Source organism: Homo sapiens, chromosome 4 (assembly GCF_000001405.40).
Source record: "Homo sapiens chromosome 4, GRCh38.p14 Primary Assembly".
NCBI lineage: Eukaryota > Metazoa > Chordata > Mammalia > Primates > Hominidae > Homo > Homo sapiens.
The window spans coordinates 22,918,501-22,946,240 of NC_000004.12; the positions used below are offsets into that span (position 1 = coordinate 22,918,501).

At 39.5% G+C, this 27,740-nt stretch overlaps 2 annotated features.

Moving 5' to 3' along the window:
- Window positions 24,373-25,253: an enhancer, noted in NCBI's record as "OCT4-NANOG hESC enhancer chr4:22944496-22945376 (GRCh37/hg19 assembly coordinates)". NCBI's record gives its function as "activates a minimal SCP1, AML or CMV promoter by ChIP-STARR-seq in naive H9 embryonic stem cells {active_cell/tissue: H9 hESC(naive)}" and the evidence as "EXISTENCE:reporter gene assay evidence [ECO:0000049][PMID:30033119]".
- Window positions 24,726-25,020: a silencer, noted in NCBI's record as "tiled region #7993; HepG2 Repressive non-DNase unmatched - State 24:Quies, and K562 Repressive non-DNase unmatched - State 24:Quies". NCBI's record gives its function as "represses a minimal TATA promoter and a strong SV40 promoter by Sharpr-MPRA in HepG2 and K562 cells {active_cell/tissue: HepG2 | K562}" and the evidence as "EXISTENCE:reporter gene assay evidence [ECO:0000049][PMID:27701403]".

The window sequence follows — 27,740 nt, forward strand, 5'->3', positions numbered from 1 at the left end:
GCAGAGTTTGACAACATGATCCATCACATTGTCTTCATCATGATTTTGATAATGCCATTTGTCTTTGTCAAAGATTTCCAACAAAAATATTTCTAAAAAGAAAACCGACTGACTAGAAGAGAAAGCAATGCCATGCAGTGTGGTCTGCAAGCATTTGATGACTGTCTGTTACATGCAGAGCATGTGATAGCTCACCACCCATTTATGGAGGAGATAAACATGCCCCCCAACTAATTAATGCACCACAAGTCATGTCTAGTTGTAATCACATTTGTACAAAAACACAAGTGGGTCAGGCCATTTTTTTCCAGTTGTAGAATTAACATATCCATCACCTCACATAGATACCTGTGGGGTGTGTGTGTGTGTGTGTTGAGAATCAGTAATAGTTTCTCTCTTAGCAAATCTTAAGTATATATTGCATTATTATTAACTATAGTCACCATGCTGTACATGAGGTCTCCAGAACTTCTTCATCTTATAATTACAAGTTTGTATATTTTGACCAACATCTCCACATTCCCCCCAAGTCACAGCCTCTGGCAACCACCATTTTACTCTGTCTCTGTGAGTTCATTTTTTTTTAACTTTTATTTTTATTTCAGGGGTACATGTGCAGGTTTGTTGTATAGGTAAACTGCGTCACGGAGTTTGTCGTACAGATTATTTCATCACCCAGCTATTAAGCCTAGTGTCCATTAGTTATTTTTCCTGATCCTCCCCCTCCTCCCACTCTCCACCCTCCACTATGCCCCAGTGTTTGTTACTCCCTTCTATGTGTCCGTGTGTTCTCATCATTTAGCTCCCACTTATAGTTGAGAACATGCGGTGTTTGTTTTTCTGTTCCTGTGTTAGTTTGCTAAGGGTAATGGCTTCCAGCTCCTCTCATGTCCCTGCAAAGTACATGATCTCAGGTTCTTTTAAGGCTACATAGTATTCCATGATATATAGGTACCACATTTTCTTTATCCAGTCTATCATTGATGGGCATTTGAGTTGATACCATGTATTTGCTATTGTGAATAGTGCTGCCATGAACATACGCATGCACCTGTCTTTTTTTTTTTCTTTTTCTTTTTTTGAGATGGAGTCTCTCTCTGCCACCGAGGCTGGAGTGCAGTGGTGCCATCTCATCTCACTGCAATCTCTGCCTCCTGGGTTCAAGCTATTCTCCTGCCTCAGCCTCCTCAGTAGCTGGAATTATAGGCATGCACCACCATGTCTGGCTGATTTTTGTATTTTAGTAGAGATGGGGTTTCGCCATGTTGGCCAGGCTGATCTGGAACTGATGACCTTAGTTGATTCACCCACTTTGGCCTCCCAAAGTGCTGGGATTACAGGTGTGAGCCACCACGACTGGCCACATGTGTCTTTATAATATAATGATTTATATTCCTTTGGGTGTATATCCAGTAATGAGATTGCTGGGTCAAATGGTAGTTCTGTCTTCAGGTCTTTGAAGAATCACCACGCTGCCTTTCACAATGGTTGAACTAATTTACACTCCCACCAACACTGTATAAGCATTCGTTTTTCTCCCCAACCTTGCCAACATCTGTTATTTCTTGACTTTTTAATAATAGCAATTTTGACTGGGGTGAGATGGCATCTCACTGTGCTTTTGATTTGTGTTTTTCTAATGATTAGTGATGTTGAGCTTTTTTTATATGATTGTTGCCTGCATGTATGTCTTCTTTTGGGAAATGTCTGTTTGTGAGATCACACAGCATTTGTCTTTCTCTGCCTAACTTACTTCACTTAGTATAATAACCTTACGATTCATCCATGTTGTCACAAATGGCAGGATTTCCCTTCTTTTTAAAGGCTGAATACTATTCCATTGTGTGTGTGCCACATTTTCTTTATCCATTAATCTGTTGACAGACACTGAGCATGTTTCTCTATTTTGGCTATTGTGCGTAATGCTGCAATGAACATGGGGATGCAGATATCTCTTTGAGATAGTGACTGGCTTCCTTTGTGATTTATAAACATGGCAAGCTTTTACCAGCCAGCCCTTTTTTTTTAAATTTTATTATTATTATACTTTAAGTTTTAGGGTACATGTGCGCAACATGCAGGTTTGTTACATATGTATACATGTGCCATGTTTGTGTTTTGCACCCATGAACTCCTCATTTAGCATTAGGTATATCTCCTAATGCTATCCCTACCCCCTACCCCCACCCCACAACAGTCCCCAGTGTGTGATGTTCCCCTTCCTGTGTCCATGTGTTCTCATTGTTCAATTCCCACCTATGAGTGAGAACATGCGGTGTTTGGTTTTTTGTCCCTGCGATAGTTTGCTGAGAATGATGGTTTCCAGTTTCATCCATGTCCCTACAAAGGACATGAACTCATCATTTTTTATGGCTGCATAGTATTCCATGGTGTATATGTGCCATATTTTCTTAATCCAGTCTATCGTTGTTGGACATTTAGGTTGGTTCCAAGTCTTTGCTATTGTGAATAGTGCAGCAATAAACATACATGTGCATGTGTCTTTATAGCAGCATGTTTTATAATCCTTTGGGTATATACCCAGTAATGGGATCCAGCCAGCCCTTTTGAATTTGTAAACCCTACTCCCTGGAAGACGCTTCCTTCCAGATCATCCCTTGAAGGCTTATTTCCATCCTTCTGGCATTAGTGCCCATATCACTTTTTCAAAGGGTCGCTGCATTTCCCCAACACTCTGTCACCTAGGTCCTTTCAATCTCTACCCTGTTGATTTTCCTTCAAAGCACATCTCGTGCTCTGTAACTGTGTTATTTTATTTTATTATTTTTGTTTGCTGTCAGCCTTTCTCCTTCAACTCTGAGCCCCCATCTATAATGCAAACTCCAAGAGTGAGGGACTGTGTCTACCTCCTTCAACTGCTTCTTTCTGGAGTCTAGCAAAGTCTCTAGTACGTAATAGATGCTCATCAAATAGTGGCTAAATAAATGAATGGAGTAGTATGTTTGAAACAAGTATATTTTTGCAATTTTTTAAAAGTCGAAATGGCTTTAATGTTTTATATCATTTCACTTTCACACTAAAGGAATAATTTTGGTTAATATATTTGCAATTAAAGATATTATTTCTATCAATAAGTTTTAGAAAAACTAAATTTTGGAGGCTGTAACAATACATAGCAGTGAATTACAAAAAAGGTGAGTTTTTGACTTCACGTTTTCTAATAGAAAATAATTTAAACCATATACAACTTTAAAAAATGCATAAAAATCTGCATGAGACAGTATGTGTTATTTATACTATGTTCTTTGGCTCTGTGAGTCTGTGATGTGCATTAGGTTGTACAACAGTGGATGAGGTAGCCTCGACCTTTGGGTAGCTTAAGCATTTAGACACCTGATGGCAATCTTTCATTAAATTTGGTGTAGTAGCAGCCTCTCTGGCAGGTAGGAGAGAACACAATTTGTTTTTCTTCAGCAATCTTCATACCAAATATCTGAAAATGTTTCCCAGTGACAGACAGAACTGAGAGCTTAATGTCTTTCTAGATGAGCGTGGTGGCTTTCATCGGGGGAAAATGCTGTGGGTAGATGAGCTCAATGAAAAGCAAAGAAAAGAGGAAGGAAAATGAAGTTTATGCATGGTCCAGATACATTTAGGGACTCAGGCAGACTGCTTAGAGAGAGAGCAGGATGTGATGCTAATGGGCAGGAAACGAGTTCAGTGAGATTTATGTTGTGTTAAAATGCAGTATCATCTGGTGAGCCAGCATTCCCTCCGTTCTTCCTCCCTCCTTGATCTCTTGCCACTGCCCTCGCCTTGGCTGGGGTTGGGAATAAAAGACACAGTTTTGGGCAGAAGGGTGGATATTTCTCCTCAGGATGAATGAAAAGGGCAGGATTGAATGAGGGTGTGAAATAGCAAACCATTCTTGTGTCTCCAAGCTCATTCACTGGGCCATTTTCTGAGACCTTGATGATATAATACTGTGGGCTAAAAGCTACCTTTTATCAATAACCCACTGTGTGCTAAAATCATGCAATGTCTTCATATAATGAAGGACTTAAGTGAGAGAGGATTTGGTAACTTTCCTAAGTCATTTTGGCAGGTAGAGGGCAGAATATGGATTTGACTCTGAGGCCTAAGCACTCTCCCCCTAGGCCTACTTGATATGGTTTTGCTGTGTCACCACCCACATCTCATCGAACTATAGCTCCCGTAATACCCACCTGTCATGGGAGGGACCCAGTGGGAGGTAATTGAATCATGAAGGTGGGTCTTTCCCATGCTATTCTTGTGATAATGAATAAGTCTTATGAGATCTGATGGTTTAATGAAGAGAAGTTCCCCTGCACATGATCTCTCTTGCCTGTCGCCATGTAAGATGTCCCTTTGCTCTTCCTTCATCTTCTGCCATGATTGTGAGGCCTTCCCAGCCACGTGGAACTGTGAGTTCATTAAAACTCTTTCATTTATAAATTACCCAGTCTTGGGTTTGTTTTTATTAGTAGCATGAGAATGGACTAATACAGTACTGCCTTCCTCCTGTGCTCAGTGCCAGCTTATCTCACTCCCATGGTGTAGAATACCATCTGCATGCTGACAATTCCCTACTGAATTCTCCAGCCTAAGCCTTTCTTCTGAATGAGATCCATCACTCAGCTACCTAAAGCCATCTCCTCTCAGGTATCTCCTGGGTGCCATAACTTTACTCAAAATTAAATTCTCTCATCTTACCTCACCTTACCCAAATCCTTCTATCACAAAAAAGAATGCTGTGTCTACCCAGTACTGACACCAAATACATGGGAGTCATCCTTGACCCCTCCTCCAACCCCACACAAAACCCACATGCAAATAATCACTAAGACCTGCCACTTCTGTCCTCAAAATAAATTACAAATATGACCCCATGTCTTAGTTTCCATTAGCTTAGACCAAGCCACCATCACCTGGACCAGGTGATGAACAAGAAACAAAATTATTGTGAAATAAAATAAAAATTACACTCATATACATAATCTATTATATATAATAGAAGAATCTAGCTAGAGAACTTAGATGTATTGTTTAAAGAGGAATAATAAAATTACATCCCTTTATCCATCAACAAGTTTAAGGTTTAGAACATTACCATTATACGTGAAGAGTCTTTGATTTCATCTGCCCCCTGCTGCTCCCCCTGAAAAATCCCCACACTATACTGCATTTTGCTAATTATTCCCTTGCTTTCTCTGCAGTTCTACCATGCATGTTTGTATCTCTACATCATATTATAATATTTTATAGTTTTGCATGGTTTTGAAATGTAAACATTTCAAAATGCAATCACAATTATGTTTAATGTTAATGTAATGCCTAATGTCATAGCTTGCTCTTTTCCTCAGTACAGTCACATGTCATTTAATAATGGGGATACATTCTGAGAAATGTGCCATTAGGCTATTTTCTCATCGTGTGAACATCATAGAGTATACAGTACTTACACAAATCTGGATGGTATAGCTCACTACACCCCTAGGCTAGGTGGTATAGCCTATTGCTCCTAGGCTACAAACCTGTAAAATGTGTGCCTGTATCGAATACTGTAGGCAATTAGAACACAAATCACTAGATGATAGGAATTTTTCAGCTCCATTATAATCTTATAGAACCACTGTTTTATATGTGGTCTTTCATTGACCGAAATGTTGCTATGCAGTACATGACTGTATTAATATTTTTTATAATTCCTATGTATAACAGGGGTTGGCAAACTGCAGCCCATGAGCCAAATCAAATCCACTGTCTGTTTATATAAATAAAGTTTTATTGTAACATATTGTCTATAGCTGCTTTCATGCTACAATGGCAGAGTTGAATAATTGTAACAAACACCATATTGCCTGCAAAGCCAAAAATAGTCAAATCTGTCTCTTTACAGAAAATGTTTGCCAACCCCTGCTGTAAAGAAATCTTGCCCATGAACACTTAGAGGCATGCACAAGAATGTTCACAATAACATTGGTTTTAAGAGCATAAACCTTGAAACCACTCAAATGGTGATCAACAGGAGAAATATAACTACACTGTAGTATATTTATTCAATGAAATACAATACAACTGTGAAAATGAAGTAGCTACCTAAATCAACATGAATCCAGCCAAACCATAATACTATGATTTTAATAGCCCCAAAGAGCATATTAGGACTCCATTTGTTAACATTTAAAATCAAGCAAAACTATAATACGTTATGTAAAGATACAAAAATATGTGATTCAACTATAAGGAAAAGCAAGGGAATAATTAACAGATTACAAGATAGTCATTTTTGGAGGGCTGGTAGATCAAGAGCGCGTATGTGTATCTTATCCAAGTTTGTGATTTGCCTTTCTCTCTCTTTGAGGGTTCTTTTGATGAACTAACATTTATATTTTGAATAGTCAATTTATCATTTCTTTTTTCCAGAGATTCTCACATTATGAATCATTTAAAAAGCCTTTCTGAAAAATGAGAATTCTTTTCTATATAACTTTTGAAGTTTTAAATGTTGCCTCTCACATTAATTTTTGTATATGGCTTGAGGTACACACTTATTTTTTTCTCCATAGAAATAACTAATTGTCCCAGCACCATTTATTGAATAGTTCCTCTTTTTCTCACTGATATACAACATCTACTCAGTCATTTATCAGATTTTCATATATGCAATGGATCTGAGTCTAGGCTGTCTAATCTGCTCCACTGGTTTTAGCAGCCTTTTAACTGGTCTCACTAGTTCTACTCATTTCTTGTTCAAACCATTTTCCACCCAGCAGTTGGAGTGATCTTTAAAATGTGTCTCTGTGTGTGTACCTGTATGTATGTATATGTGTGTTCAAACCTTTCAGTTACTCAAATGTTCTTTTGAATAATTTGGTCCTCTACTTGTTATTTCTTAGAGTTTGTAAAATCTTCTCATACACATATTGTCATTTTCTCTTCCCATCATCCCAAACTACAGATAAAGAAATTGAAGCTTAAAAAAGGAAAAGGAGCTTTTCCTCACCCAGTGAAAAAGAAGCAGAATCTGCATTCATAGCTGCCTTTGCACTCCAGAATCCAGTGACACTTCTCTGCTTTCAGTTCCTCAGACTCTTTCTTTTCCCATGATCTCGAGTCTTTGGCTATTTTTCTCTGAGTGTATCCTTTCTTCTGCATTTAGGTTTTTTTTTGTTTGTTTGTTTTTTTAAAAAAAAACTAAATATTATTATCCTTTTCTCAGAATGACCCTCCTAATTAATTCTTCCTTTCCTTAGCCATTATCCTCAGCAAACTAACGCAGGAACAGAAAACCAAACACCACATGTCCTCACTTGTAAGAGGGAGCTGAACAATGAGAACACATGGACACAGGGAGGGGAACAACACACACTGGGGCCTGTCAGAGTGGGGGTGGGGGTGAGGTGAGGGACAGTATCAGGATAAATAGCTAATGCTTGCTGGGTTTAATACCTAGGTGATGGGTTGATAGGTGCAGAAAACCACCATGGTACACATTTACCTATGTTACAAACCTGCACGTCCTGCACATGTATCCTGAAACTTAATAAAATAGAGTAAAAAATATATTCTTTTCCTTTTCTGGGCATTTTGCATAACATTGGCTTTCCAAGGCCTGTGTCTTCTGTCTCCTTCATTGTTAAAAAGCAGGCATATTCCTCCTTTGTGCATCTTTCACCTCTTTCTTCCAAGCATCCTCCCTCTGTGCTCCACTGTCCAAAAAAGCCTATAATGCATCTTTTTCTTTCTTTCTTCATCTCGCACTAAGTCTTGCCACATTCACTCTTCAGAGATAAATTAAGACCTTCAGAGACTTTACAGTACATCAGGTCTTCAAAGAACGTAATTTTGTTCAATGTCCTTGCATTATAACGTTGATGAGAGAAAAGATTTAAAAAATCAGTTCCCTGCTGCGGCCACGCTGTGTGGAGCTTGCACCTTCTCTCCATGTTTGCATGAGTTTCTTCCCACATCCCAAAGATGTGCACATTGGATGACTTCGCATGTCCACATTGTCCTAGTCAGGGTGAGTGTGGGGGTGTGTGTGAGTGTGTCCTGTGGTGGGACAGTGTCCTGTCCTGGGCTGGTTCCTGCCTTGTGCCCTAATCAGTCTGGACAGACTTCAGCCATCTGAGACCCTAAACTGGAATAATGGGGTAAATAGTTACCTTACCTGTTTTTATTAATGTTTCTTAAATGTATGTATAGATCACATTTGTTTAATGTTTAATATTAGAAGTGTTTTGATCTTTATTTACAATTTCGTGATGTTTTTGTGACCAGAAACATGCTATAGGAACCTCTTATTTTTGTCAATTAACCTATAGCAAAATTGTTTTCATTATATGTCATGTTGCTTAAAGCCACAGTTTCTAAGAACTGGTTGACAATGTTAAGATCTTGGTGTTCCAATACCTAGCCCTGAGTGCATATAATTTAAAAAAAAAGCCTTATTAACAAGACTTAGTAACAAATCAAAATATATTTCAAAATGACACCAAATATAAATATATCTTGCCCTTAAAATATACTTTCTGTAGATTTTCTAACTCTCTTTTTCTTTCCTCCTGTGATCACTGTTTCTCTGTTACTGCCTTCTGCTTAGTGGAGAACCTAGCCCTCTCTCCATTTATCCCCCAGGGGCCGTCTTTCAATTCCTGTGGATGTCCTTTCGCTGTGGAGCTTCATCTCTCCCACCCCTGCACTGTGTGTTCTTTCTTTTCTTGTAACTTTCTTCCGGAAGAAACTCTTCCTTGCTATATCAAGGGTTATATTTTCTAGCCCTTTGCAGAAAAAAAAGAATGCAGATTTTTGATCACGAAGCCCCAAACATTTCTCACTTGAACTGTTACGGAACAGCAGGAGTTGAGTTTAGGTCCCATTGCTCACCTAAGAGAAAACCAATCACTGAAACAATGAGCATTGTCAGGGAAGAAGGCTTTATTATTTTACGGGTGACATCAGCCAGAGAGACAAGAGCCAAACCTCAAATCCATCCACCACTCCAGATTAAGGCCAGGGGTTTGCATAGCTGGGAGGAAAAACAGGAGGGGCAAAGAAGAGGAGTTGGTCAACAGACCGCAGGTGATTGAATGAGGGGGTCTCATTATAACCACATGCAGGAAAATGGGAATTAGGAATTGGTAAAGAGGAGGAATTGGTCAACATGCAGCAGGTGCATCTCATGTAAGTTTCTCAAGCATCAGTTTTATGGGCATCTACATTGCTGGAAAATTGGGCTGGTTTTAAAACCACGTTTTCTTCGAGGCACCTTAAAATCCATTATCCATAGCAACCAGGGTACTTTTAAACATGCAAACAGGGATAAGCCCTTCTATAGCCTCCCTTCACACTTACAAGATAATTCAGCTCCAAGCCCCATTTTACAAGCCATATATGAACTATCCCTGACTACCTCTCCTGCATTTCCTTGCCCCACTCTTTTTCTCAGTCACTTTGGTTGGCTAAATAAGATAAGCTTGTTCCTGCCACAGGGCCTTTGAACTGGTTGTTTCCTCTACCTAGAATGTTCTCTCTCTTGTTCAGTAAAGGTCACCAGCTCCTGTTGTTATTTAGGTCTCAGCTCATATCTCTATCAGGGAGGGCTTCTCTTTGTACTGCCCCTAAAGGACTCACCCTTTTCCTTTCTGACATATCAATTTATCACAATGCTCCAAAGAGTTCTCATCATTATCTTCATTTTTCTTGTTTGTTTATTTATGTCTTATGTTTGTTTATTTTATTTTTTCCCTGAGAATATTAGCTTCCTAAGGACAAGGACCTTTTTCTCTTCTTCACCGTTGTAGCACAGAGGCCTGCAATAGTACGTCTTACATGAATGACCACAAGGACTTGATAAATTCTTCCTTTGCTGTTTATTTCATTGATTATAGTTTTACACATCAATTTTCCAGATTAGATCCCATAATGATGTCTATAAAGTCATATGTCTGCCTTATAATAACATCTGTGAATCCACATGATAATATATAAACATCTTAGAGTCTCCTCTACGTCGTTTCAATTTCTGAAAAGAACAATTATTTTTAACTTCAATTTTCTTCTAGTTTTTCCACCTTAAACATGCTAGTGCCTTCACCTGGTTGGATAAATCAGAATAACATAATTATCCTCAATTCCTCTTTATTCATCAATCCCCACATTAAGTCAGTCACCAAGTTCTATTGATTTTACCTCCCAAGTATGCTTCATATTCATGTATTCTTTCCAAGGCTAAAACCCCAGTCCAATCTCTTGTTATTTCTTGCCTAGATTTCTGCAATGAACCACTCACTGATTTTACTATTAATACTTTTGCTTTTCCACAAACTTTATCCACACTACAATCAAAGAAATATTTCTAATATGCAAACAGAGTGCCACTGTCTTATATTTGGCCCTGGAGTGCTTTCCTATCATTAGGATAAAGTCCCAGGTCCTCAAAATGAATAAAAGGCCCTGACTTCTTGGTCACTGCAACATCTGTTGCTGCTTCTTCAATTTAAATGGTGATGTTGTGTTCTTCCTGGCAGGTGCTATTCTTGAAATGATGTTAAGAACAACGCAGAGAGAAAGTTGGCAATGCTATTCTGTTTTATAGATGGGAAAAGCAAGGACCGTTGCATGAACAGGTTTGGCCAAGGTCACGTAACTGGGAATGATCCTTAATTTCTCTTTCTCAGTCCCTGCATTCAGACAGTTATCAAATTCTATTGATTTTACATCAATGCCTCACACAGTTAAAAAGTAGCAGCACTAGGAACCAAATCTCCTGATTCTTAGACCATGTTTCATTTTCATTTTACTATAACATGATTTTTTCCCCTCCCCCATCATGTCCGATCCAGGACACCCAAAGGTTGTTGGTGCTAATCAGGTTCTAGTTTATTTGCAGATTAAGAAAAAATTCGGAAATATTTCTAAAATATTTCTGTAGTGTTAAAAGGTTATGGAAAAAATTTGAGGAAATGTCAAGTTATCTGCAGGCTGAGGATCTTCCTCATGACTCTGATCATATTTATTGACTTTTTGCATTGTATCAGGCACTATCCTAAGAGGATAAAATATAATAAATAATACCTTTTAGGTAATATTTATTGAGGTTTTTCAATGTGACAGGCATATTTCTTTGCATTTTCTGGATCTTATTCAATTCTCTCAGCAACTCTATGATGTAAGTACTATTATTATCCCCGTATGACAGATGAGGAAACTGAGGCACAGAGAGGTTAAGAAATTTGCTAAAAATCTCACAAGAAATGAAAGAACTCTGGTATTAACTCAGCCAGTTGGTCTCTAGAGCCCATGATTTTACTCATAAGATTGTGGGGCTCTCTTCTGGAATTCCTTTTTATAAGGGTTTTACAGTTGGCGTAGAAGAGAGGCCCGTAAACATAAGACAGTGTGATAAGTGCTATGATCTATTCAACATCTCTTGCTGGTGACCTCTATATGGTACATATTTTGTGATGTGCTTTCACTTACATAGTGTAGGGCAAGGGATCTGAATTCAGAAGTTACAGTTTTATTAATTGTGTCACTTTGGAAGAGTTATTTGAACTTTCCGAACCACGGTTTTCTTATAAATAAAAGATACCAATATCTATTTCAAAGTTTTAAATATTTAATATATATGAAATAGGCTGCACATAGTAGGCCAATCTGAAAACTTATATGAGTTAAAGGAATGTTAATGAAATAGCTATGTATAAAGTGTCAGGTGAGAATAAAGGAAGAAATTATTAACTTTGCCTAAGGAGTGGGGAATGTTCCCCACGGTCAATGGAACACTTGAGTTGAAACATGTCTAAGGATTATTTAGACTGAAAGATTTCTATCAGGATCCAGATTTTTCTCTGGGAAAACACCTTTTCCTCCAGATGTGTATACTTCATCTCATGTAGACCTGGTTGCTACTGACATTCATCTTGTTACCTCCAGATGAGCCCCCCCAGATACTGAAATTACAAAAGGCAAAGGAGAGAGATGGCAAGAAAGTGGGCCCTTGATAATGTCAAGAAGCCACTGGTTCAACCAGATATGAATCCTGTGAACCTCAACTTTCCAATCCATGAGCCAATACATATGCTTCACTGTGGAAGTCCATTTGAGCTGAGTTTTTGTTACTCGCAACTGACCCCCTTCAAATGGCAGAGAGTTCTATAGGAGGGCTGCATTACAAGGCTTGCAGAGAGATAGGAGGGAGCATGATGAGTTTGGAAATATTTCATTGAGAAATAAGGCCAGAAGGTGGGTCACTGCCAGCTTTTCAAGGGCATTGACTTCCATTTTAATGAGCTTGGACTCAAGCCTGTAGGCAGTGGGGAGCAACAGTTTTTGAGCAGAGAAGTGACATGATGAGATTTGCATTTTAGAAATGTGACTCTGGCTTGAAGTTGAGTTTGGATGGGAGTACAGAAGGCTGAAAGCAGAGAAAGGAGTTAAGAGATAACCACAATGGCATGGAGTAAGGGGTTACTGAACTTGGACAATGGCAGTGGGGAGAGGGAGGTAAGGATCTGGTCTCATTTTCTTTGGACACACCTTGTTATTATGTACTCACTGTTATGGATTCTCCTCAGCTCTTAATTCTGGGTTCACAGATGCCTCGCCAGTCACAGCTGCAGACTGGCAGACGGGAGAGTCTTGCTCTGCAGGTGCACTCACTGCAGAGCCTTCAAAATCCAGAATGCAAGGCCCAGGAGCCTTCCAACTTTTCATATTCCCTGGCTGTTCTTATTCCTGTATCATGGCGATGTTCTTCTGCTAGACATTAACAAGTGGTACCAAACTTTGTGGTCATCACAGAGCATAGATCAGAAAGCTGCTTCAAATATCCTTCTGAATTCATAGACGATTCCCTCAGCTCCTTCTCTTGCAGGCAGGAGATGCCCCAGCATGGAATATCAAAATGTTCTTATGAAATTCATGTGTATTGCCTCTTGTTTCTGTAACAGAAAACCTCCAACAGGTTACTGTGGAGTTAATTTTGCCTCCTACTCTTCTGAGATCTTTTCAGTAAGAGGGATGTGGGAATTGTATGGGAACAGAGATATATAAACAGATGCATAAACAGTTGCGTGGTTTTTGTTTGTTTGTTTGTTTTGAGATGAAGTCTCATTCTGTTGCCCAGGCTGGAGTGCAATGGCAAGATCTTGGCTCACTGCAACTCATCTGCCCCCCGGGTTCAAGTGATTCTCCTGCCTCAGCCTCCCCAGTATCTGGGATTACAGGTGCCTGCCACTACGCCTGGCTAATTTTTGTATTTTTAGCAGAGATGGGGTTTCACCATCTTGGTCAGGCTGGTCTTGAACTCCTGACCTCATGATCCACCCACCTCAGCCTCCCAGGTGTTTAGTTTTTAGGTATATACTTAAAGAGAAAAAAAGCAGGCTCTCATGTCCAGTCTTTCTGGCACTATGCTCTCATTTGCTGTATGCAGTTTGGTGCAAATTGGAATGGACGATTAAACATCTGTTAATAGGACCAGGGAAGAGTTATAACTCCACAGTTCCATGTGTACATACCATCCATGTTGTGCTAGTCTTCTGCTCAACTACAAAGTCATAGCTAGAATCACTTGGGGGGTTATGAATCTAGGCCAGGCAAACTCAGTTCCATTCCTTGGCCACCACTGCCACCACCACCACAACCACAAATCAAACTCTTTCCTTTTCCTTACCATGAATGGATGGGGCAATTATATTATTATGTAAAATTTTTGTATTATAATGTAGGAAAGAACCTTAGAAAGCATCTACTGTAAAATTACTAGTTTGTGATATTAGAAACTGTCCCAAAGTGTGGAGCTAACACCTACCACAAAGGAGACAAGTCAGTTCCCTATTTGTAAGATGGAAATGATTATAGTATCTACCTCTAATGGCTGTTTGAGGATTAAATAAATTAATATATGTAAAGCACTTCAAATGCTGCTGGCACATATTAAATATCAAATTGCTTGTTACTATGATATGATTGTTTGGAGATTCAGGTTTGCTGTCAACATGCAGCATGGGTAGGCTGGCTGGCTGCCTGGATGCTGAACTGGTAGAACTAAGCCAAGTTTCCTGCTTTAGAAAACAGGCAGTTATGAGTTTGTCAGGGCAAGGGAGTGGCGAATATGTTCTATGAATCCATGTGGCTACACGGAAGACAGATTTTCATGGAGGGATCTTAAGTCTTGTGCAAAAGAGGCTAGCAGATACTAGTAGAGAAAAGCTGGAGGTACTACTGGATTCCTAGAAACTGAGGAAGGGAGTAAGAAAATCAGCTGAAATAGAGACACATTCACCCTGTCAAAGGAACTGCAGGTGAGATCCCTAGTGATAGAAGGATAGAAGGATGAAAGCATCACACTTGCTTATTTCAGCTGAGTTTCTTACTCCTTTCCATCATAATGGCTACATAATTAGCAAATATTCACTGAACGTTACTACATGCCAGACACTGTTCTGATGCTGAGAGTGTAGTAGAAGACAAAGACAAACCTCTGCTCTCTTGGGAATTTGATTCTACAGGGGAAAATAGATGGCAAATTAATAAAGAAATGATTGCATAAATAACAGGTGTGATGTGAGATTATTAAGTGCTAGTAAAAAACAGAAGCATAAGAAGAAGGGAGAATGTGTGGAGGGAGCAGAAGGGACTTCTGATTGCTTCTATTTTCTCAGAGCACTTGGAAGTGACGGCATGGAAGTGGGTAAGGAGGAGGCAGCGGCTGTTGGAGTTTTAAAGGGAAGGTATAAAATTGTTACCTGGAATCATGGGAGAGAAAACAGAATTGGGACTTGTAGTAGGATTGCCGGCCCAGCTTTGGAGACCCTCTTGAGAGCTGTGGTAATGATTACAGAATGACATGAATGAGCATGTGTGTGTTTCTGTATGTCAGTTGAATTATCTTGGTGCAGGTACACAGAAAGTGGAGAGTTAAATTTATTCAGAGTTGGGGTTTGCCCAGGGTATCATGAAGGAGGAAGAGAGGGGAAAGGACGTCAACCTGTTTGCAAAGAACCATGGAATCTAAGTTGGATATAAAAGGGAATAAGGGCAAGAGAAGAGTGAATGCTAGGATCAGTGCTTGACTGTCCCCTGTGGGGTTTATTATTTGCTTGACTCACACAAGAGTGAGTGAGTTATACAAAGAGGAATGGAGGATGAGGAGAGGAAACTTAAAATGAGGATTATAGCAATGACAAAGTCTAGGAAATATCTTGAGAATTGAGTGCCTAAAGTTGGGTGGAAAACATCATGAAAAAAAGAGGTCAAGAAATCTCTGACCTGTAAGCTAGAGCAATAAAAGCAATAAAAGAACTATTTGGATATTGAAAGCCATCAAAAATTGTTGGATGCTGAAAGAGGGTCATGATCAACTCAGTATATCACTGGAGGCTATATGAGTAAGCAGCAAATTGTTTCTCATAAAGGCAGAATGTTGGCAGACTGACAAACTGCATCTGCCACCCAGAAGGGATACTGAGGGCAGTCACACCCCAAGCGCAATGTTTCTTGTAATTAGGCAAATCTGAAGCCTGTTAGCAATAACGTGAACCTGTGATCAATCAAGCAGCTGAGCAATCATTACCTCCTCCTCTCCTGCTCATTCTATCCAATAAATACAAAGGGCTGTGGAAGTTTGAGGGCGCCTTTCCTCACTAGAAGCAGGAAGCTCTCTTCTTCCCCTGGACCCTTCCTTTAAAGCAGTTTGTTTTGTCTTAAGTTTTCATTTCTGCATTTGTCCTCATTTGTTCAGTCCTGTAATGATGATCTCAAGTAGTAACAGTAGTAACTCTCCTAATGACAGTCTCAAGTAGTAACAGTAATAGCTGTTGTAATGGTCTCAAGTAGTAACAGCAGTAATGTAACTGTCGTAATGATGGTCTTAAGTAGTAAGAACAGTAACTGTCGTAGTGACAGTCTCAAGTAGTAAGCGTGGAAGTCACAAAAATCATGACAGGAGTGATACCAGAGACTAATAAGGATCATGGTATTGTCAAAAAGTGAGAAAGAGTGACTAAAGATCAGATTATAATGGAAGGTAGTAGTAGCAGTATAGACTAATAGAATTAAATTTGAAACTGGGAGTTTCAGTGAGAGGAAAGAGTAATGGTCTAGAAGTGGCTAGGATGTGTAAGGATGACACCCTACTTCTTGGTTCATTGGTATAAAAAAAATGGGAGAGAAAGGGGCCACTTCTTAAGAAAGCTATGAGAAAAACAATGTCTTCAGCATAGAGTAAGGTTTCAGTTAGTGTAAGTCAGGGAAATGGAGGAGAATGGAGATAACGGGTGGGGGAAGTTGCTGAAGATGGACTGTGAGTTCTACAAGACTTGTGAGGAGGAGTGGGAGATGGGGTCAGATTAGAAGATGTAAATAATTTTATGGTGATAAAAGATGACCTAGGAGATGGGGCTTCTGGTATTGACTGACATAAATATGGTAGTAGAATAAGATCAGCCTAGTCTTGATATCCTGGTTTAGGCTGATCATGGCAGTGAGGTTGCTGGGCAGGAAGGAATGGAGGTCTTGCTGGAAGAATTTACAGTCTGCTAAGTGCCATGGTCAAAAGAATGTGATAATTATACAAGGTAGGGCTGGACTGGACCCTTGCACATCTGAAGCAAGTAAGTTTCATCATACATACACCCAATTCAATCAGTTAGAATAGCTGCTTGGTGTCTGTATTAGTCCATTTTCATGCTGCTGATAAAGACATACCTTTGGGAAGAAAAAGAGGTTTAATTGGATTTACAGTTCCACATAGCTTGGGAGGCCTCAGAATCATGGTGGGAGGTAAAAGGTACTTCTTACATGGTGGTAGGCAAGAGAAAATGAAGAAGAAGCAAAAGCAGAACCCCCGATAAACCCGTCAGATCTCGTGAGACTTACTATCATGAGAATAGCATGGGAAAGATCAGCCTCCATGATTCAATTACCTCCCCGTGGGTCCCTCCCACAACATGTGGAAATTCTGGGAGATACAATTCAAGTTGAGATTTGGGTGGGGACACAGACAAACCATATCAGTGTCTTAGAGTGAGAAAGGGCTGAAATGGATTCATGAGATCAACATGGACACAGGAAGAAGAGTAGTTTACAAGCTTCAAGAGGGTCACCTCTTATTTTCATATTTTAAAAATAGAGATACAGAAAGGTCAGTGGTTTACTCAAAATCACACTATTTAGTGAGAGGGTCAGAACCACTCCACCAGGGAATACATAAAAACCCTATTTAGATAGTTCTCATTATCAAATAAATGCAATTTTATATCCATGTTCAGTTGGTGACAGTTAGTAATATAGATACTGAGTTTTGGCTTTGCCACCTATTGGCTGTGTTTTTCTGGGCAATTTATTTGACTGCACATCAGTTTAGGCTCCCCAAGATGAGATTAGATGTATGCTAGAGATTTATTTGAGGGAATTGCCTTTGATTAATAAAGTGGTAAGGAGCAGGAGGAGGCAGGGGAGCAAATGCAAGCCTGACATTTGTGAAAGAAGAGAGGGAAGGAAGTAGAATTGAGTAGAAGGAACCTCAGATTGTGGTGCAGCTCTAAGTGAAGATGACCTTCAGATGGATCCTGCACTGGGAAGGAGTGGGCTCTAGGGTCCCTGCTCTGCTCAGTCACTGGCTGGGAGCAACCAGGGAAACCATGGGTTTGAGGTGTAAATATCCCCAAGAGTTTGGGGAACCTGAGAGCTTAGCAGCTGGAAGCTGTCAGCCAACTACTTGCAGCAGATCCTCTTAGAGGAAAATAAAAGCAGTGCACTTCATGGTCAGCATGGTTCTAAGCCATTTAAAATGTATAATTTAAAATTATCTTTAAAATTGAGGTAAAATTTATATACCAAAATTAATCATTGATCATTTTAATGCATACTTTGAGGAATTTCATATATTTACAATGTTGTGCAACCATCACCTCTATCTAGTTCCAAGACATTTTCATCACCCTCAAGGGAGACTCTGTACCTCAAAATGTGAATCCATAAAAACAGAATGTGACAACACTAATCTACATTCTATCTTTATGAATTCACATATTTTGAAAGTTCTTATACATGTAATCACACACTATACAATGCTTTGTATCTAACTTCTTCAGCTTAGCTAAATATTTTTGAAGTTCATCCATATTATAGCATATGTCAGTACTTCGTCCCTTTTTATTGCTGAATAATATCCCATTTTAAGGATATACCACATTTTGTTTATCCACTCATCCACTGATGGAAATGTGGGTTATGTCTACCTTTTTTTTTTGTTGTTGTTGTTGTTTGTTTTTTTGAGATGGAATCTCACTCTGACACCCAGGCAGGAGGGCAATGGCGTGATCACAGCTCACTGCAACCTCCACCTTCTGGGTTGAAGCAATTTTTCTGCCTCAGCCTCTCAAATAGCTGGGACTACAGATGTGCACCACCATGCCCTGCTAATTTTTGTGTTTTTAATAGAGACAGGGTTTCACCATGTTGGCCAGGCTGGTCTCAAACTCCTGACCTCAGATGATCCACCTGACTCGGTTTCGCAAAGTGCGGAGTCGCCACGCCTGGCCAAGACTGTTTACTCTTACAGAGAAATGGACCACACTTCACTTTGGCTCACTGTGATCTGAGAAAGCAAAGAGCCCTTGGGACAGGATTAAAAGCATAATCACAACTTGTGACAATGAGTTTTTAACAGGGATGACTTTGTGGCCCTTCTCTCACTAGTGACCGCACTTCCTGCAGACAACTGCCTCCTAGCAGAGCTGTCCTTGAAATACGACTTCCAATTTGTAATGCTGGTCCCCACCTTTCACATCTCACCAAATTTGGTCAGGCTCTTACAGACTCTCACTTTGATACCTTTATTTTTCTTTCTTTCCTCTTTTTTTTTTTTTTTTTTGAGGAAAGGAGGAAGGAAAAAGGGAAAAGAAAATATTAGATTAAAAATAACAGTCATCCCTTGGGCCCTCAGTGAGGGAAGAAAAGAGAACACAGGCTTAATTAGTCCACAAGCAATTTGGAAGAGAGAGGGGGATGGAGTCACTGACAGTGAGCTGTCTCAGGGACTGTTGTGGATTACTGAGGAACATGTTGTTATTTCCTTGTCTGCAGATGTTTAAAATACTAAAAAACATCTATCTCCCTTTGTCCCCAGCATAAAACCTTTGCTTCAGCCGAAGTGATGACTTCTACCATGACAATATACTTTCTGGCAGTTCTGGTGGGCAGTTTCCCTTGCTACCTTTCTATTTTTGCTTATTTGTTTGTTCCCTTAAATAGATGTTTGTATCCCAAACAATGCCTGGCATACAGAAGGAGGAGCTCCATGAAGAGGTTTTCAACAAACTTCTCATTGCTGGCTGCCATTGTCTCTTCTTGGCATACTTGGATAACCTGGAGTTTGTTTAGAGCACTAATGGAGTGCGCAGGTTCTGGTATTGGACTGACTGGCTTTGGATGTTGGCACTACCACTTAGGCTCTGTATGATTTTAGGCAATTTACTTTGGTTACAAATAAAGATAATATTATTCAGTCTCTGAAGAGATTGATGTGAGGAATAAATCAGATACTTCCTGTGACATGCTTAGAAAATGCAAGACACATAATACGCTGGGTTGGTAGATGTTAGCTACTAACATTATTGACTGTCTGGTCTTGTTTTTTATCCATTCTACTCTTATCTCTCCTAGTAGAAATTTATGCTTCTTGAGAGCAAAGACTGCATTTTAGATATATTTAATACTTACAAAGCAAACACACACACATACAAACAAGCAAATGCCATTAACCAATAGATAGATGTATGGATTTAGTGCTTCAAATGTGTCATATAAAGTAGTAATATGTAAATCCAGTTTTTGAATAACCCAATATGTTTTGCAAGACATATATAGAGATGAAAATTAAAAAAAACCTTTGAGCAAAGAGTGGTAGTGTTTATTAAAATGTAATCTCCATGAGGGCAAGACTGTGTTCTCTAGAATAGAGAATGGGCACACAGTAGGCATTTCATAAATACTAATGGAATGGGTGATTAAAAAAATTAGCACTAGGAAATGCCAGAAATTCTGCCTATGTTTATTAACTTAACTCTCACAATACTATAAGACATAGTTGTCGCTGTGTTAGTTAAGAACTGAGGTTGGCCGTGAGTTGAGACTTAACTATAACAATGTAAACAAAAAAAGCCTATTTTTATAAACTAATGTAATGAGGAGTCTAAGTTTCACTGGCTGTAGTTTAATGGTTCATTGTTCAGAACCAAGGTCTCTGAAATTCTTTGTTTTTCATTACGGTCCTAAGGTGGTTGCTGCAGCTCCCGCTAGCACACTCTTGTTATAAATTAGAAAGGAAAAAGAACAGAAGAGCACTTTTCCCACCTGGGGCAGTCCCCTTTAAGGAGGTTTCCTTGAAAACCATGTTTTTAAAGAACTTTTACCCATATCCAATTGGCTATACTCATTTGCAAATGGAAAAGATAGAGGGCTTTTCTTTTTCCTCCTCCTCCCTTTTCTCCTCCTCTTCTTCCTCCTTTTTCTCACCTGGTCACGTTGTTACTCCTAACAAAAACATGGTTCTATCATGAAGGAGGAAGAAACTGGTTATTGAATAGGTACCAATAGTCTCTGTCATCTTCTTCATTTTATAGATGTAGGAAACTCAGGCTCAGCCCCATAGAGGTTTTATATATTGGTTTTACTGCAGCTTTTGAGGATTTGATTTATCACATCACAGTGTCTTCTTTGGAGGACCTGCAGAACAAAACCCTCTTGGTAGTGATTCTTGAGTAGTCAGCAGCTTGTTGAAGTTGTAGATGGTGCAAATAGTTTTGTGTCTGTCTTTACTTATACCCACTGCTAAGAAGTCCCAGAAAGTGAGGAGGTCTGTGTATGACAACCATTGGAGAATATTCTACTATGACTTTTTCTTTTCCAAAATTTCCCTGCTATCCTACATGCATTTTTTTTGAGACAGAGTCTTGTTCTGTTGCCCAGGCTGGAGTGCAGTTGTGCGTTCTTGGCTCACCGCAACCTCTGCCTCATGGGTTCAAGCCATTCTCATGCCTCAGCCTCCTGAGTAGCTGGTGTTACAGGTGTGTACCACCATGCCCTGCTAATTTTTGTACTTTTTAGTAGAGACGGGTTTTGCCATGTTGGTCAGGCTGGTCTCGAGCTCCTAACCTTAGGTGATTCGCCCACCTCGGCCTCCCAAAGTGCTGAGATTACAGGTGTGAGCCACTGCGCCTGGCCCTACATGCATTTCTTCAAGGTATCTGAAACTATTATGAAAAGAAAAAGGTGATAAATGGAAAATAATGCACATACACATGCACACACACAAATCCACTCACACATGTAAGTGCATAAAATGTAAGCTCTGAGAGTTTATGTAATTAGCTTACATTATGGGTAGTTAGAGATGAGTCAGGAGTCTACCCCATCTCCCTGACTCTAAAATCTATCCTTTACCCTCTCCAGCAGAGGTTCTCAACCCTGGTTGCACATCAGAATCAGCCAAGAGCTTTAAAGAACTTCCATGCTTAGGTCAAGTCCCAGACACATTGTAAATCAGAATCTCTGGGAGTTGAGCTCTGGCATCAATATTTTAAAAAAGCTCCCCCAGATGATTCCAGTGCAAATCCAAGGTTGAGGACCACTACTTTTCAGATACTCTTAAGCAAAAGAAATGAAGTGTGGTGTTCCATAAAGAGAGTACTTTTTAAAAATTATTGTAACCTAGCCCAGTGGTTTTTCTCACCTGCTTTATTTTCTCCTGGTGGAACCAGCAATATGCAAAACAGATTAAAGCAGAGTTTTCATAGTTGAGGGAGTATCTGGCTCCACTTCTTTATCACCCCTCGACTCACCCCATCTCTTGCAGATGGCCCTTGTGGCCACCCACAGGACAGTGACCCACCTACTTCAATGCATCCCATGGAATAGATGTTTTAACGATTCAACAGACATTCTGACCATCAAACTAACATTCATGACTTGGGAAAAGTCTCAGTCTTGTGGGTGATTGTGGTGTTGTCTTTCCTTCTGCAGATGAGCCTCCAATTTCCGTCTCTCTACCTGTGGTTATTCAGAGGACAAGATGCTAAAAAGAGCCCCAGGATCAATAACAGAAACACACAGATATTGTCAAGGTTATGCTTTCTCTCAGCTCACATGGCCTTGTGTGTGTGTTTTATCCCCACACCCCCAGGAGTGCAGTTAATCATGTGGACCCGTAATGCCGAATATTCAAACTCAAATGTCTACAGAGGTCAGGCGGAGAGATAATATGTGAAGTTTCCATGTAGATGCTATGGGGAATTGGAGTGTCTATGTCCTTCCTGAAAGCATTTATATTTTAAAAAGTATTTGAAACTGTGTCTTGGCAAACAGACACATACACACATATTTTCTGGGCATAAGGTATTTTAGTGAGGTGCCTAGTGAGGTGAAATTTATTTTATTTACATTTTAGCTGTAGAGGCTGTCAGTTGCTTTGTTAGGTGGACCCAGCTGGTAAGTTTAGAGCATCATTCTATTTTCAGGGAAGAGTTACTCACTTTCATGATGGCATAATGAGTGTATGTGCGTGAGTGTGGAACAGAACATTTTGAACCTTGATCAAACCTTCTCCCTACAAAGCCACTTGGCTTATAGTTGATCAGATAACTGTAGGGACAGGAAATTTTGCATAGAAGGCAAAGTGTCACCTAGAAGAATAGGACGCAACTAGAATCTCTTTGATGGATTGAGGTGGTCCCAAGTGATTGGTAGGAAAAACCCAGAAGTCTCTAAAAAGAGTAGCTTTCCCATAAGGAAAGAGAATACATGAGTGGCAGAAATCATTGCAGCCTAGATGTCATGGTGTGATCACTGGCCAGACCCTCCATTTCTCTCTTTTGCTGACATTTGGAAGCAGAACTGGACCCATTTATTGTATTGTATTGTATTTTTTTTTTTATTTCCATAGGTTTTTAGGGAACAGGTGATGTTTGGCTACATGAGTACGTTCTTTAGCGGTGATTTGTGAGACAGTATATACGTCACCCAAGAAATATACACTGCACCTAATTTGCAGTCTTTTATCCCTCACCACCTTCCCACCCTTTTCCCCAGGTCCCCAAAGAGAACTGGACCCATTTAGATAAATACATCCTTCTAAACTGAACCAAGTGGTAGAGGAGACAACAGATTTACTGCTAATATAAGCGTAGAGATATGTCAATAGTTGTTTGGAATTCTGGTGGTGTTTGTACCTTGAAGTAAACCAGGAGAAGCTGTGACTTCCTTTTGTTAGGTTGTGTACCTGACACCCCACCAGACATTGCAGGATCTGCAAACAAGATTAAGTCCTATTACTGCAGAGCTGCAAGTTCAGTCATGTGGAAGAGGGGAAGAAGCTGGAGCAGGTGGCTCAGTGATGTGAGGGTGGAGTTTAGCATGGCAAATCAAACAAATACTCAAGTAACTGTAATTTAAGGAGAAATGAAGTCTGATACAGAGTCACATTTATGAGATGTCATGGACACCCAGCGAAGGAAGAAAGCCCATGTGATTGGACACAATTTCCCAGCATTTAGAACAGCATAAAGTAATTTCATAATGGAAACTGGCAGGGAGAGTTTCAGAGTTAAGCAAATATAAAGCAATGTGAAACAGTCTTGATAAATGCTGCAGAAAGGAATCTGCAAAAAGAGACTGTGTGGCTAATGAATAACACCTAATGTTTACCTTCCTAAGCTTGGAGCCAACTGAGAAGTAGATGCAGGAGTTAGGTAAATGGGGAACAAGGATCAGCTTTGTTAGTAATAAAGCTGATTGAAAGCGCAGCGTGGGCCTGGGCGCAGTGGCTCACACCTGTAATCCCAGCATTTTGGGAAGCCGACATGGGTGGATCACCTAAGGTCAGGAGTTCGAGACCAGCCTGGCCAACATGGTGAAACCCCGTCTCTACTAAAAATACAAAAATTAGCCGGGCATGATGGCAGACACCTTTAATCCTAGCTACTATGGAGGCTGAGGCAGGAGAATCACTTGAACCCAGGAGGAGGAGGTTGCAGTGAGCCAAGTTGGTGCCGTTACACTCCAGCCTGGGTGACAAGAGCAAAACTTTGTCTCAAAAAAAAAAAAAAAAAAAGTGCAGCATGAGTGTCTGTTCCTCAAATGAATTCCATAAGACTTGCTTTTACAGAATTAAACATCTCCTCTAGGTTGAAGGCAAAGGCAGCTGTTGCTGTCTCTGTTTCTGTCCTGCTCTTCTGTTCTGCTCTGCCCTTATGGGGATTAGGTTTCTTATGGAGAAGCAGAGATGCATTCTGAACAGAGATGGCTCTGAAAAACAGAGGACTGAAAGGGCTAAGTCACACTTGCTTAGTTTCTTTAGAAAGGTTTTAGAATCTCCTGTTTTTCCTCTCCTTCTTCAGGAGGAACTATAAAAATGGGGAGCAGAGGCCAGTTATTTCCATGGAAATACAAAAATGGGAAGAAGGAGGTCCCGCCGATCCTTTTACAAACTTTTCACTCCAAAACAAAGGAACAATTAGTCCTTCATTACTTTCTTGTGCGCAAAGAGCTCTCTCTCTCTCTGTGTGTTTTCTGTTTCTCTTCATCTATTTTTTACTAAGGTAGGCCTTTGCCATTTATCTGTGACCCATGATGGCATCTTCTAAAGTATACATAGTTTCTACAATGTCAATATTTGAAAAGATGACTTGTTTTCTCTTAAATTCCATGCCTGTTGGTATTTTCTTGTGTTTAGAAGCACAAGGCAAGTTATCTGGCTTTTTCGTCTCACACTAAAGTTTTATATCTCACTTGAGGATCGTTTCTCTCAAAGAAACAAAGGTTTTATCACTCACTAGAGTAACTGTGTACACAAGATGAATAGAGAACAACAAACCCATGTTGAGATGCTGATGTTGAGCAGTTAGCTAGCAATTGAACTGAGCAATACAGATTTGTGTAAGAAAGGCATTCAGCTCATTTCTGAATACGTGAAACTTCATTTAAGTCTGACTTCCTGGGGATCCATGCCATAGCATTTATCTCTCTGTATCTTCAGTGAGTGTTTGTGCCTTTTTCTCTTTAACCATATCTTGAGCCCCATGTCTTTTTTAAAGTAATAAATTCCCAAGTATAGTAGCCCATTACAGAAACTCAATAAATATTTGTTGAATGAATGAATGAAGGGTCATTTATGAGAGCAGCATAGTACTCATTCTGAGCACATCTCATGTAACCATTTTTGGACCAGGTCATTTTAAAGAAATGTCCATGACGCAGAGCACATGCTAACTTTAGGCAGGTGTGTATTTATTCTCTGTCTGCAGAATATAGAGTAAACACAACTAAGAATTTGTGGATAGGGACAATCCTACCATCTGTGTTTTCAAGTATAAAAAAAGTTTGTCATGTTGTACATACTGGATCAACATGACTGGGTTATTGGCTTTCTGTAGGGTTCTATCACTCAGAAGCCCTAACCTCTGGAGTCCTGTGCTGTTATATAGAGAAATAGAGAGGGTTGTGATGGGAAAACAATGCCTTATTGTTTTCCTTCTCAGGGTCTTAGGAAAAACTAAGTGTGTTCTATAGAGATCTCCACCAAATTCTTCTACTTCCTGTGGTAGGTCTGGCTAGAATTGGGTTCTGAGGCCTGGAGCAGAGAAAGATTATCTCATTGAGATCAGGGGATGTCAGAACCTGATTTAGAAAAATAAGGGTCTGTATTAGCTTCCTACAACTGCTGCAATAGATTGCCACAAACTGGGAGGCTAAAAGCAACAGGAATTTATTCTTTTGTAGTTCTGAACATCAGAAGTCTGAAATTAAGGCATCTGCAGGCTTGGTTCCTTCTGGAGGTTCGGAGGGACAATCTGTTCCATGCCTCTCTACTAGCTTCTGGTGCCTGCTGGAAATCTTGGCATTTCTTGGCTTGTAGACACATCACTCCAGTCTTAGTGTTCACCATCACATGGAGGTTCCCCCGGAATGTGCATGTCCAAGTTTCCGTCTTTTTGTAAGGATACTATTCATTGGATAAGGGCCTACCCTAATCTGGTATTATCTCATTTTTATTTGATTACATCTGCAAAAACGTATTTCAAAAAAAGTTCATATTCTGATGTTCTGGGTAGATGTGAATTTTTGGAAGATACTCTTCAACCCAGTACAGGGTCCAAGAAGCTGGAAGAGAATTCCATTAAAGCAACTGGAGTCCAGGTTCAGGGTACTGGACCTGCCACAAGAAAACAGGAAACCAAAGCCAAGGGGAAGAGAGCAAGTGTAAACATTTCCACATTAAGGGGTGGGTAGGGATTAGGTATAGATCCTGTGATGAATACATTGGATCCCCTACAAGATTTTCTTGCTGTCCCTGGTCTGCATTGCATGGACACAGATGTAAAGTTAAGCATGAGTTTGTTTCCCAGACATGTCCACTTACATAGAATTATCAGTGAGCAATGTAGACTTTACTGAAGATATTATAGAGGAGGGATTTGTACATTGTACTCCACAGCAAACAATTTAAAATTCATAGCACATGTTTTATTATTTTTCCTTCTAAAATGTCACTGACAGTTTATCTTTCTTGCCTTCTTCTCTTCTAATTCCAGAGTATATCTGAAGTTCTTCTTCCTAGGTTACACAAAACAATTGAATTCTCCCTCTGGCTATTACTGCAAATGTGTACAGACTTATTCACCCAATGCTCTCTAGAACAAAATCTCTGCTATTACCATTATTTAACCTTATCAGAAGACAGTCAGGATTAGTGAGTGCCAATACTTCTTTCTCATTGTACCCCTAAACTGGATTGTTAGCTATTTTGATAACGAGGGCAATTATTTTCATCTCAGGTACTCTGCAGCACCAAGCGTGGTACTTCCCACATGTAAGGAACTTAATAAATGCTGGTTAATAACCATTATTATTAATACTGTTGATGTATAATAATGCTAATACTGTTGATGTATAAGTCTGTGTTTTTTGGTTTCCATTAAAAGTTTGTGGTGCTACAGAGATATCAAAACTTGAGCTTTTGAAGTGCCAAGTTTCTAAAGAAGTTGTTGAAAGGCTGGGAAATAATTTTCAAAAAGTTACTTATTTCTCCTCATGAGCAAGTTTCTAAATATATTTACATGCATTCTAACAGGGAGTCATTCAATCCAAAAATATTTATTAAATGACAACTTTGTAAACACTAGGAGATTCAAAGATGTCTAAGATAGTTTCTTCAACAGGCTTACATTCTAATTGCCATTATGTTTGTGTATGTAGGAGGAATATAAATCTTGTGGTTTGCTGTGATAGACTGGTTATTCAAATTCTCGCTCTACCCCTAAATAGCTAATTGACTCAGAGCATATTTTAACCTTTCTGAGACTCAGTTTCCTCATTTATAAAATAGGGAAAATAAGAGTATACAATAGGATTTGGGGGAGGATAAAGTAAGATGTTTCTTATTCAGCAATATGGTGTATATTTAATGAATGCTAGTTATTGTGATGATGAGTGATGATTAATATTAATGATGATGACAAGTGGTATAAGTTTTTTTGGAGGTGGGTTATTTTTTATCTAAAAAGATAAGGAAAGGTTGTAGGGAAGATAACATTTTTGAGATAGTCTTGTAAGAATGGGTAGAGTTACCAAAGTCTGAAGATATTCTTGCAGGGAAAATGGAATTAACGCAAAGGTACTTTAAAAAAGACTTGAAGTGGGCTCAAATCAAACTGGAGAGACTAGAGTATTAAAGAAAAAGTAGCCATCAT